Here is a 14055-nt window from a genome sequence, read left to right as displayed (position 1 = left end):
TTTTGTATGTGTACATAACCTAGAACAAAATACCACTCTTCAGTTGAGCTTGCTAGTTTGGCTGGGCAATTAATTTCACCATGCCCTCATTTTATGCTCTTTTTCTTTTAATACATTATAAATAACTGAGCAGCATGTGTAAAGGGCAGCTATACAAATGACCAAATAATTTGGCACACTTGCTGAGTCCTTTGACTTCAGAAGTTTTTAATGTATAATATATTAAACCAGTCAAGGTTCAAACCAGTCACCAATTAAAAGGTCCTCTATCTAGCTCAACAAGAAATAGCTCTGGCTTTTCCAAACTTTTACGTTAGAACAAAAAGGGAAATATATTAACTCATCAAAAAGCTAGTTGTTTAATTTTGATAGGTAGCATTTCAACAAAAATATGGATTTTATTCCTTTTTATAAAATGTATTCTTCTGTAAAATTTGGCACTGTGAATTACTGTAATGAAGGTTAAGGTGATATTGGGGGATTGGGCTGAAGGACTATGTTGCTTGTTGAAATGCTTTCAGTTTCTGAAAGGCAGCTGAGTCTACTTGGTAGAGTATTGTTTTGCTTTCTTAAGTTAGTGCAGGTAAAATTAGTAATTACCAAGAGATCCCCATAAAAGTACTCTATATGCCTGGATTTTTTAAATCCCTCATCACAATGGACCTCTTTAATATGTTTCTACATTAGAGCCCTTGACTTTGGCTTCAAGATGTATCTACCTAATGTGATATTAATAACAGGAAGAAATAAGGATATCTTTCTCTAATTCAGCATTTATTACAAGTTAAGGGGTTACTCTCTAAAAACTCAACAGATAAGTATGTATTAGCCCTAGCTGAAGAAATTTACACATAGAGTTTAAATAATTTTTCCAAGCTCACACCACTAGTAAGTATCAGAGTTAGGATTGGGAAGGAGGCTTGCTGTTTGTCCAACTTCATCCTCTTTCTCCTAGATAGTAGTTACAAATGCTTTGTGTATTCTTCTTAGCTAACATTTGCATGTTGCAGTAGCTGAGAATTGATTCTGTGAAGGCAGGCAAACCTGAGTTAAGCTAGAGGCTTTTAAAATTAGTCACTTAGCTTCTATAAATCTGTTTCTTTATCTATAAAATAAGGACAGTATTTGTGCCTACCTCAAAATATGGCTGTGTATTAGTTCATTCTCATGCTGCTATAAGGACATACCTGAGATTGGGTAATTTACAAAGGAAAGAGGTTTAATGGACTCACAGTTCCACATGGCTGGCAAGGCCTCACAATCATGGCAGAAGGTGCAGGAGGAGCAAAGGCACATCTTACATGGCAGCAGGCAAGAGAGCATGTGCAGGGGAACCACCCTTTATAAAATCATCAGCTCTCATGAGCCTTATTCACTATCACAAGAACAGCATGGGAAAAATCTACCCTCATGATTCAATTAACTCCTGCCAAGTCCCTCCCATGACACTTGGGGATTATGGGGGCTACAATTCAAGATGAGGTTTGGGTAGGGACACAGAGCCAAACCATATTAATTCACCCATGGCCCCTCCAAAATTTCATGTGTTTTCACATTTCAAAGCTAATCATGCCTTCCCAACAGTCCCCAAAAGTCTTAACTCATTTCAGCATTAACTCAAAAGTCCATAGTCCAAAGTCTCATCCGAGGTGAGGCAAGTCCCTTCCACCTATGAGCCTGTAAAATCAAAAGCAAATTAGTTGCTTCCTAGACACAATGAAGGTACAGGTATTGGGTCAATACACCTGTTCCCCATGGGGTAAATTGGCCAGAACAAAGGAACTACAGGTCCAATGCAAGTCCAAAATCCAACAGGGCAGTCATTAAACCTTAAAGTTTCAAAGTATTCTCCTTTGACTCCATGTCTCACATCCGAGTTATGCTGATGTAAGAGGTGGGCTCCCACAGCATTGGCAGCTCTGCACCTGTGGCTTTGCAGGGTATAACCCCCTTCCTGGTTGCTTTCATCGGTTGGCATTGAGTGTCTGCAGCTTTCCCAGGCACACAGTGCAAGCTGTCTGTGGGTCTACCATTCTGGGTCTGGAGGACTGTGTCCCTCTTTTTACAGCTCCACTGGGCAATGCCCAAGTGGGGACTCTGTGTGGCAGCTCCAACCCCACATTTCCCATCTGCACTGCCCTCTAAGTGTTTCTTCTGCCTGGACAGAAGAGGGCACCACCCCTGCAGCAGACTTCTGCCTGGACATCAAGGCATTTCTGTCCTTGATGAAACCTAGGCAGAGGTTCCCAAACCTCAATTTGTGTCTTCTGTGTACCTGCAGACCCAACATCATGTGTAACCTGCCCAGGCTTGAGGCTTGCACCCTCTGAAACAACAGCCTGAGCTGTACATTGGCCCCTTTTAGCCAGAGTTGGAACTGAAGCAGCTGGGATGCAGGGCACCATGTCCCGAGGCTGCATAGAGCAGGGGGTCCCTGGGTCCAGCCCACAAAACCATTTTTTCCTGCTAGGCCTTTGGGCTTGTGATGGGAAGGGCTGTAGCAAAGGTCTCTGACATGCCTGGAGATATTTTCCCCATTGTCTTGGTGAATAACATTCAGCTTCTTGTTATTTATGCACATTTCTGAAGCAGGCTTGAATTTCTCCATGTAAAGTGGGGTACTCTCTTTTATTGCATCATCAGGCTGCCAATCTTCCAAACTGTTATGCTCTGCTTCCTCTTGAATGCTTTGCCACTTAGAAATTTCTTCTGCCAGATATCATCCTAAATAATCTCTCAAGTTCAAAGTTCCACAGATCCCTAGGGCATGGGCAAAATGCCAACAGTCTCCTTGCATAGAAAGAATGACCTTTACTTTAGTTACCAATAAGTTCCTCATCTCCATCTGAGACCACCTCAGCCAGGACTTCATTGTTGATATTACTAGCAGCATTTTGGTCAAAGTCATTCCACAAGCATCTGGAAAGTTCCAAATTTTCCCACATCTTCCTGTCCTCTTGAGCCCTTCAAACTGTTCCAACTTCTGCCTGTTACCCAGTTCCAAAGTCACTTCCACATTTTCAGGTATGTTTACAGCAGCACCCCACTGTACTGGTACCAATTTATTGTATCAGTTCGTTCTCACACTGCTGTAAGGACATACCTGAGACTGGGTAATTTATAAAGGAAAGAGGTTAAATGGACTCACAGTTCCACATGGCTGGGGATGCCTCACAATCATGGCAGGAGGTGAAGAAGGAGCAAAGGCACATCTTACATGGCAGCAGGCAAGAGAGCATGTGCAGGGTAAATGCCCTTTATAAAACCATCAGATCTTGTGAGACATTCACTATCACAAGAAAAGCATGGGAAAAACTTGCCCCCATGATTCAATTACCCCCCACTAGTTGCCTCATGACACATGGAAATTATGGGAACTACAATTCTAGATGAGATTTGTGTGGGGACACAGCCAAACCATATCAGGATGTATGAGCTAAATGAAAAAAATGCATATAGATAATAACAAATTCTCAATAAAGTTCAGTAAATATTATAACCATAATTATACTTAGTATTTTAAAAATTATTATAATCGTTTGTTATTGTTATGAGGGGCTGAATCAGGATTGGCTGTAGATATCTTTGGGCTTGTAGATGGTTCTGAAGTACATAAATCAATCATGTTAGGTTGGTGCAAATTAATTGAGGTTTTGCTATCTCTAAACGGCAAAAAACCACAGTTACTTTTGCACCAACCTAACAGAATGTTAGAGCTCACCTATCCTCTGTAATAGGGTCAGTCATAAAACATAGTTTGAAAAATTTTCAGTGCCCCACCCCAACCATGTTGTGGCTGTGTTTTATATCTGCCCTGCACAGAGTTTTTAGAAAATTCTATTTAAATTTGGTTGCACTGCCCCCATTAACACTATTGTTTTGACTGTCTGACCCTTAACTTAGAGCTTGCCATTTATTTTAAACTGAAATTTAATCATTTTAAAATTTCAGTGATGTTGGTGGACTCATTCTAAGTCATTCAAGATTTGCTCTGAAGGGGCCTAATCTAAGAAACTCCAAAGTGAGGATTCTAAATGAATGAGTCACTTTTCTTTTCTCAAGTTGTGCTTTTCAAATTCTAATCACTTGAGGAATATGATTAAAATTCAAATTTTTAACTCAGTTGGTATAGGGTGGAACTTGAGATTCTGCATTTCTACCAGGCTCCCAACTTCTACTGCTAGTCCATGGACCACACTTTGAGAAGCAAGATCTTAAGGAGATTGCAGTTGTGGCTGCAATCAAGTATGAGTATTGAGAATTGTTATGAACTAGTATAATGTTACACAAAGTAATGAATGATCAATGATGTGTAGAATGAGGAGAATTAGGATTTGGTTGAAAAAGCAAAAGCAGAATTTATTTATTCAGTACTTATCTGTGTGTACATACATGTGTGGATATATGTGTATGTGCATATGGCTTTCTATACATACTTATATTTCCTAGCTTCCGTTTATTGTGGGAGCCTAGAAGTAGTGACACCCTAGTTTCCATATTCCATAAAAGGAATCAGGGCTTGTTGGAAAAGTAGTTGATCCTGGGACTGGGGCAGAAAATATACAAGGCAAACCTGGAACATATTAAGGTGCCAGAAAATAAGAGTGTCCTAAAAAAAAAGCAAATAAAAAGAGAACATGGCAAAGAGGCACAGGAGCCAACTGAAATAGCCAGCACAATTTACTACAACTGTCAATATTAAATATCAACCCAATAATAAATATTTTTGAGTATATATGATATACATACATGGGGGAGAATGGACAGCTTTTTCTTACAGAATAATTATAATTAATCAATGTAGGAAGAATGAGGGAAATAGAAAATCATTAATATACCAATAGTTGTTGCAGCAAAATCCATCAATTAAAGCTAAAACTCATGGGTAAAAGTTAAATTACAAAGTCTCAAAGTAACTGTACCAAAATAAATATCTACTAAGTGCAAAGAGGAATATAGTAACTTTATAGTGGAGAAACCTGGTGTACTCTACCTTTACCAAGAGTTCAAGATTAAAATCACCAGTAATAAGAGATATTGACATAATGTGTCCTTTGATATGATGCACTCTTAGAAGGGAACGTTACATTTGTGTCATTTTTTCCACTTATGCACAACCTCATTATAATCATGAAAAATAGTCATAAATATTTTAATGATGGGGATTAGTCTGAGATATACATCATTAGGCAATTTTGTCATTGCACAAACATCATAGAGTGTACATACACAAACCTAGATGGTGTAGCCTACTACACACCTAGACTATGTAGTTATATGGTATAGCTTATGCTCCTAGGCTACAAACCTGTACAGCATGTTACTGTACTGAATATTGTAGGCAATAATACCGAAATGGTAAGTATTGGTGTATCTACACATATCTAAAGGAGCCAACTAAAATAGCTGGCACAATTAAAAGATACAGTGAAAACATGGTATTACAATCTTATGGGATCACCATTGTATATGCAGTTTATCATTGACAAAAATGGCATTATAAGGCACATGACTATATATCAGAAAAATCCAAATTAAAGGACAGTGTACGAAACAAGTGGCCTATATTTTTCAAATCTGAGATCACTAAAGATAATGAAAAACTGAGGAGCTATCACAGATTGGTGGAGTTTAAGGAGACCTGACAACTAAATGCAATCTAAGATTCTAGATTAGGGCTGGGCTTGGTGGCTCATGCATGTAGTCACAGCACTTTGGGAGGCTGAGGCGGGCAGATCACCTGAAGTCAGGAGTTCAAGACCAGCCTGACCAACATGGAGAAACCTCGTCTCTACTAAAAATACAAAAATTAGCTGTGGTGTGTGGCGGCACATGCCTGTAATCCCACCTACTTGGGAAGCTGAGGCAGGAGAAATTACTTGAACCCGGGAGGTGGAGGTTGTGGTGAGCCAAGATCGCACCATTGCACTCCACCCTGGACAACAAGAGCGATGCTCTGTCAAAAAAAAAAAAAAAAAAAAAAGATTCTAGATTAGATCCTGAAACAGAAAGACAATAGCAGAAAAACTGGTAAAATAGAAACAGTCTATAGTTTATCTAATAGTATTGTAGTGATGTCTCTTAGTTTTGATAATTTACTATCATCATGTAAAATGTTAAACTGGAGGAACTCTCTATACTGTAAGGCTATAATAATCTGAAAATAAAAAGTTAAACATAATAAAAAGAATACAGAATGAATAAAAGTGGTTCCCTATTCCAGTTTCATTGCTAGAAGTAACCACAACTACCACTTATTACATGTCCTTATAGACATTGCAATAATTCTTAAAATAAAAAGTTATAATAAAGTTATAATAGTGAAAAAATGTTTTTTGATTTCAAGCATCTTATATTTAGTTTAAAAACATATCTAGAGAAAGCTACACAAGAATTATTACAAGGCAAATTTTCAAAAATTGTGCACAGACAAAAATAGATTTAATAGAAACTAAATGTTATATAAACCACGGCCATTTTGTTTTCAGTCCTTTGCCTAGGGGCTTGTTATGGCCTAAGGGACTTACTCATTCAACCGTCTTACTCCTTCCTGCAGCACTTTTTTGTTTAGCTTTCTCATTTCAGTATCACACTTGATTTCCAGCTCCTACTACTTCCTTCCCGAAGCAGAGTTGAGTTACTTGAACTAATTTACTTGAAATTCTTCCGGGATAAATGATGAAATGCTTATTAGAAACACTTTATGTTTAGAAATTTCATTATTCAAATTACTTAAATTAATTAAAGTGTAGAAACCTAATGACTAATGTTCAAAATCCATTAACTAATTGAGAGAGACAAATGAATTCCCATGCCTTTCTACAAGCTCTCCTTAATGCTGCTAGCAGTTGGTAACTTTCCTTATTGTATAAGAGTTTATGTACTTCTTGAGGGTAAAAATGACCTTCCTTTTCCAGTATTAAGCAGAGTTCACCTTTGATTACCTTTTTCAGTCTCTTCTACTTTCAAGTGATTCAGATTTTGAAAGCCTACCATCTGTTAACAAATAATGTTCTCACTATGGAGGCAGGGATTATGTTTATTACAATTTCACAGGATAAGAAACCAAGAAAAATATAAGAATATAAACTGGAGAAAAGCAAATTCTAAAGGAAAGAGGTTACATGAAATGAACAAGCATGAAGAAACTGTATCTGTAGCCATGAGATTAAGGGTAAAAGAATTTGAAACTGAAATATGGTAAGTAACAGGCTATAGAAGTGAGGAAAATGTTACAAAGGTGATCTCATTCTCTTTTATTATAAATGGGAATCACGGATGCCCTTCACTTAATATGATGTGAGGTATAAATCTTTTGAAACTCTAGAAAGAAGACTGTAGGAAAGACTTGAATGCTCCACATAAAGATGATCACTTAACATAATAAAATAATCACAAAATAACAGAGATAAAAGGAAACTCAGCAGCTGAACTGTCCACTGTATAGATGAACTCTTCAATTCTACACAGTCTATGAAGAAAGCTTAGCTATTATGACAATAGTGTTAACTTTTGCTGAGTGCCAGGGTTGTATGAAGTGCTTTAAATGCATTCTTCCTCTTCATTTCTCACAATATCACTATGATATTGGTGAGAAAAGCAAGATTCAGTGTTGTCTTCATCATCGTGATAAACATGCAAAAGATTCTTACTTTATTCACACAATGAAATAGGCCCAATGTGGCCATTCCATATATCCAACTTGTTTCTTTTCATAAATGTGCTCAAATTCAACTATGCCTTTTAAAATTGGTAGGATATTTAATACCTGTGTTCATTCAGCAACAACAAATGCTTCCAAGTGTCTGCTCTATGCAAAGCACTGTTCTAGGCCCTAGGGACAGCGTAGTAAACAAGAAAAGACAAGAACCTTGGTGTTGTGTGGCTTACATTTTTGTTGGGGAGGCAAAACATAAGTAAGTACATTTATAAGATAAGGTCAAAAAGTTACCATTACTATGAAGAATGTAAAATAAGGTGACGTGAAAGCAAGTGACTTGGGGAAATAATGTCAATTAAAAGGAATTCTCAGGTCAAACTACTTTGAAGAGATGAAGAGATGACTTCTGAACTAGTCCCTAAATATAGGAAAGAGTCAGTAGGACAAACATCATGGGAAGGGTGTTTCAGTCAAAGGAAGCAGAATGGGCAAGGATATTTTAGTCTGAATGAGCCTGGTGTGTCTGAAACATAGGAAGGTAGTGAAAGTCAGGGAGAAAATTAAAAGATTTGGTTGGAGAAGAAGGCAAAGGCCTTGAGACCAAAACAGGAGTTTAGGTATTATTGTAAAGATATGGGAAAGTCATTAGAGGGTCTTAATGGGGGAATGGTGTAATTTGATTTGCATTTCAAAAAGATCGTTGTATCTAAGGAGTGGAAAATGGACTGGAGGAAGGGAAGTCAAGCAGAAAAAAAAGGGGAGACTATTGAAATAATTAATCTGAGATGACAAAATTTGGAAAAAGATAGTTTTAGTAGAGATGGAAAGACATGTATTAGTTTGGATATATCTTGGAGGCAGTGCCAATAGGAGTTATTGATGGATTGAATGTGGGAGTGAGAGAAAAGAAAGAAAAGCTGATTCTCAGGAATTTGTCTTGATTGCCAAGGGTAGAAAGTAATAGACATTTACTCAGATGGGGAAGCCATCTGAGTGTATATAATATATACATATATATATATAAAATATATATGGGGAGTGTATATAATATATACACTCACACACACACACACATATATATATATAGAGAGAGAGAAAGATGATATTTAAAACTATGACATTGAAAGAAATGTGAAGTGAATACACAGAGAGAACACATTCACATACTGGACATGGTGTATTCCATTTCCAGCATTAAGAAATCATGAAAATGAAATGGGATCAATATCAGAGACTGATAAAGAATACCTTAGGAGATAGATTAAAAAAACAGGAAAATATGGTGTCCTAGATAGCAAGTGGAAAATGTGTTTCCAGGAATATGAAATAAAAAACTGTACAATGCAGCTAATAGGTCAAATAAGATGACAACTAGTAAGTGACCATGAGATGTAGTAATGTGAAAGTCACAGGTAATTTTAATTAGCATGTTCTATATCATGGTGCAATAATTTGATTGGAACTTTGATTATAGTCTCCCTGAAGTTTAACTTAAAAGCAACTTCTTAAAATCCCTATTGAGTTTTTAAGTTTATCAATATAGCTTTCATAATTTTTTTTTATTTTATTATTATTATACTTTAAGTTTTAGGGTACATGTGCACAATGTGCAGGTTAGTTACATATGTATACATGTGCCATGCTGGTGTGCTGCACCCATTAACTTGTCATTTAGCATTAGGTATATCTCCTAATGCTATCCCTCCCCCCTCCCCCCACCCCACAACAGTCCCCAGAGTGTGATGTTCCCCTTCCTGTGTCCATGTGTTCTCATTGTTCAATTCCCATCTATGAATGAGAACATGCAGTGTTTGGTTTTTTGTCCTTGCGATAGTTTACTGAGAATGATGATTTCCAGTTTCATCCATGTCCCTACAAAGGACATGAACTCATCATTTTTTATGGCTGCATAGTATTCCATGGTGTATATGTGCCACATTTTCTTAATCCAGTCTATCATTGTTGGACATTTGGGTTGGTTCCAAGTCTTTGCTATTGTGAATAGTGCAGCAATAAACATAGCTTTCATAATTTTTACCCTAATGTGATTCCTTAATCTTTTCCCAATACGACCACAAATTTTTTACATTGATATTCTCTTACATATTAATTCTGCCCTGTTAAGAACATAATTTTTTGCTTTTTTATGTTTATGGAAATTTTAAGTGACAGTAAACTTTGTTTTAAAATTTGCTTATATTTAATACCCAATTATCTTGAAACATCATCCTGAACATTTTCTCTTCTAATATAATTGCTTCCTCTAAGAGTGTTTTCAATATGGAGCTGGTTGAGGCCAAACTTCTGAGCATTTACACAAGTAAAAAATTGTGTTATGCTCCATATTTTTAAAATATGCTTTCTTTTTACAGTGTATACATACCTCAAACATCACATTGTATCTCATATACATGATTTTCAATTAAAAATAAATAAATTAAAATTATTTAAATAAAAATATTTTTCCTCATATAAAATCGTTGTTTTAAATTTCTAGTTTATTATATTCTTACATCCAGTATACATCCAGTATATTCTTACATCCAGTATACATCCAGTAGTGTATCAATTTGATTCTTATATTAATATTTTGTAGGCAATCTGTCTTTACTTCCTAGAAGCTTTCGGAATTTTATTTTTTTTCTATTTTTTTTTTAACTTTTAAGTTCAGGGGTACAAGCACAGGTTTGTTATGTAGGTAAACTTGTATCAAGGGGGTTGGTTGTACAGATTATTTCGTCACCCAGGTATTAAGCCTTGTATCCATTAGTTACTTTTCCTAATCCTCTCCCTCCTCCCACCTTCCACCCTCTGAAAGGCTCCAGTGTGTGTTGTTGTCCTCTATGTGTCTATATGTTCTCATCATTTAGCACCCACTTATAAGTGAGAACATGTGGTATTTGATTTTCTGTTCCTGTGTTAGTTTGCTAAGGATAATGCCCTCTAGCTCAGTCTATGTTCCTGAAAAGGACATGATCTCATCTTTTATGGTTGCATAGTATTATATGGTGTATATATACCATGTTTTCTTTATTCAATCTATCCTTGATGAGCATTTAGGTTGATTCTACATCTTTGCTTGTGTGAAGAATGCTGCAATGAACATACAAGTGCATGTGTCTTTATAGTAGAATGATTTATATTCCTTTGGGTATATACCCAGTAATGCGACTGCTTTGATGTTCTTAAATTTCACCAGATTGTGTGGGGAGTTATTATTGTCATTATGATTATTGCTTCTCTTATTTGACACTCTATGAATTATTTCAATCTGAGCATTTTCACCTATCCTTTAATATCCTATCTAGATCTATCGTATCTACATCTCTGTTACTACTACATATATTTTCATCTGGTTTTTATTTTCTCTTTACCCCTATTGGACTCAATTACATGATTTTGACTTTTTTGTTTCTTATTTTGTTTTTCCTACCTCTTAGCTTAAAAAAAAATTTACCATCTCTTTATCCTTTTCTACTACTTACTTGAGAGTCTCTCAGTGTCCACTTCCATCACAACAGTTAATTCTAAAACTTTCTCTCGCCTGTTCTTTATTCAATTAAATTGTTCTTTATTATAATTTTCAGATTAAACATTTCCTCTTGGTTATCTTTTATAATTCTTATATTAGATATGATCCATGTGGCATATGCTGTTTCATTTCATTTATAGTAGCTGTGTTGCTTAAGTATATAGACATTTTAGCCTGTGAATGTATGTTTTCTTGTGTGGCTCAGCTTCTCTATCTGATAATATATGTGAGACAAAGGCTGAAAGCCAGGTGAAATCCTGTGCCCCTTCTGGTAAGTTTAAGGAAGAGTAAGAGATTAGTTCTGAGCAAAAAGTATCAGGCCACCTGAAACTCTGCTGACCACTGTTGCTATTCCTCCAGGAAAAATCTCTGATCAGGACTTGCTTTGAAATTCTTAGGAGAAATATTTGGAAGATGCTTTTTTTTTGTGGGGTTGGAGAGGGGGAGCAGAGAGAAATAAGTTCCCAAAGCCACTGGTCTCTTCCCTCACACCTCTCTTTATCAACTCCTCACCTCAGAAACCTGTTCCTCTGCCATTATTGCAGATTTCTGTTGTACAAGGGCAACCGTTATAACAAGTGAGTGTGACATGGCAGCAGAAGAGGAACTTAAACACTCTCTTGCAATCTATTCTCTCAGTTCTGCTTCAATTTTTCTGCAGCTCATGGCTACAGGGAAGCAGACCTAAGATTGTCTAGATCTAGCTCTCTTACCAGAAGGAGGAGGGAGTGGGTGTCCCAGTAATATTTTATCTTATACCAGTGAATTTTATTTTATACCATGCTGCATCACAAATACTCTTAGTAAATTTTCTGAATATATCTTTATTTTCTGAATATGTCAAAACCAATAACTAAAAGACAGATTGAGTAAACTTGGTAGTTACTAATTCTCTCTCTCTGATTATCAGAGAGGGGCTGCGGGTAGCTAAAATGAGCAAAGGAAAGTAATGCAGTGTGGCGACATCAGGCTGTATACTGTAACAGGGTAGAAGGGCTCAGAAGAGCTGTGATGAGGTTGCCAACTGGTAAATTTGACACCGGAGGAAACATGGATAATTAGTGGAGTTTCTCCATCTGGTGTGCAACCACATGGGTAGGATGGAAACAAATCATAACACAACTGCAGTCAAAACTCAATTTAATTCTTATACTAGAAGCAAATATTCTAAATGTTAATTATTTTTATCCCTGGGTGGTGAAACGATGTATGTTGATTTTCTCCACTTCTTTCTAATATTATGAATTCTCAAAATGCTCATGATGAACTTCTATTATAGGTATAACGTAATAAGGTACATTTTAAGTGGAACACTTGTAGCTTTCTCATATGACTCTTTATTAAGTGAACCAAGAGAAAAATCCTTCTCTTTTTGCCAAAGCAATTACAAGAGATGCTTGACTATGTAAAGAAGAAGAAGATAAAATTAGGCTTTAGGAAAATATGAGAAAATGTGACTTTTTGCTGAAGAGGAACAACTGAAAGTTAAACAGAGGAAATTAACCTTAAAGAAAGCATACAGAAAAGGTTTCAGTCCCCATCAGAATTCAATGATATAGAATTGATTTAGCTGGAAGAGTCACTAAATTAACTCTGAGTACTTTTTTCCCCCCTGAGACGGGGTCTCACTCTCTTGTCTAGGCTGGAGTGCAGTGGTGTGATATTGGCTCACTGCAACCTCTGCCTCCTGGGTTCAAGCGATTCTCCTGCCTCAGACTCTCAAGTAACTGAGACAACATATGTGCACCACCACGCTCAGCTAATTTTTTTGTATTTTAACTAGAGATGGGTTTTCACCATATTGGCCAGGCTGGTCTCAAACTCCTGACCTCAGGTGGTCCACCTGCATTGGCATCCCAAAGAGCTGGGATTACAGGGATGAGCCCCTGCACCCAGCCTAACTCTGAGTACTTTTACAAGTATCTAGATGGGGAAAATAAACTTGCATAATCTTGTATATTGGATGCAAGCTATTGTTTGTTAGTGAATTTTCAAATTATGTGGTGCTTGATAAAGTTAGATAAAAAATATAATAACCCATCCCATTGTATTTTTTAAAAATACTGCTTTAAGGTATTGATAACGAACTGGTCTAATTATAAAATATAATTTATAAAGTATAAATTGTTTGAGGATAATTTAAAAAGACTAAAAATGACTCATAAGGTTAAGGTAATAATAGCTCTTTTGTGTTTTCAAAATGGTAGAGATTGGCTATTTAAAGAAAACGTAGTCAGCAGATACCTATAAGCCAGGAGATACTGGGGGCCTATTTTTAGCATTCTTAAGGAAAAGAAATTCCTACCAAGAATTTCATATCCAGCCAAACTATGCCTTGTAAGTGAAGGAAAAATAACATCTTTTCAAGAAAAGCAAGGACTAGGGGAATTTGTTACTGCTACGCCAGCTTTACAAGAGATCATTAAGGGAGTTCCAAGCACAGAAACAAAAGAACAATACTTTCTACCACAAAAACACATTTAAGTACATATCCCACAGACACTGTAAAGCAAAAATACAATAGCAACTACAAAGCAACAAGGTAACAATTTCACAATAGTATTGAAGCCTCACATATCAATATTAACCCTGAAAATAAATGGTCTACACACCCCACTTAAAAGGCACAGAATGGCAAGCTGAATAAAAAAATGAGACATCTATCTGCTCTTTTCAAGAGATCCATGATGAGTTGGAGAAAGATCTGTCACCTAGGTTCAAAGTGAAGGTTCAAAGTAAAGAGTTGGAGAAAGATCTATCACACAAATGGAGAACAAAAAAGAGCAAGGGTTGCTATTCTTATATCGAATAAAAGAGACTTTAAACGAAAGGCAGTGAAAAAAAAGGACAAAGAAGGGCATTG

The 14055-nt window shown here is 36.4% G+C and overlaps 1 annotated feature.

Annotated features, from left to right (window-relative positions):
- Positions 11828 to 11907: a silencer, noted in NCBI's record as "silent region_15346". NCBI's record gives its function as "represses an Ori minimal core promoter by ATAC-STARR-seq in GM12878 lymphoblastoid cells {active_cell/tissue: GM12878}" and the evidence as "EXISTENCE:reporter gene assay evidence [ECO:0000049][PMID:35858748]".

This window comes from Homo sapiens, chromosome 4 (genome assembly GCF_000001405.40).
Source record: "Homo sapiens chromosome 4, GRCh38.p14 Primary Assembly".
Taxonomy (NCBI): domain Eukaryota; kingdom Metazoa; phylum Chordata; class Mammalia; order Primates; family Hominidae; genus Homo; species Homo sapiens.
The sequence above is the reverse complement of the archived record's forward strand: the minus strand, read 5'-3'. Positions and strand labels throughout refer to the sequence as shown.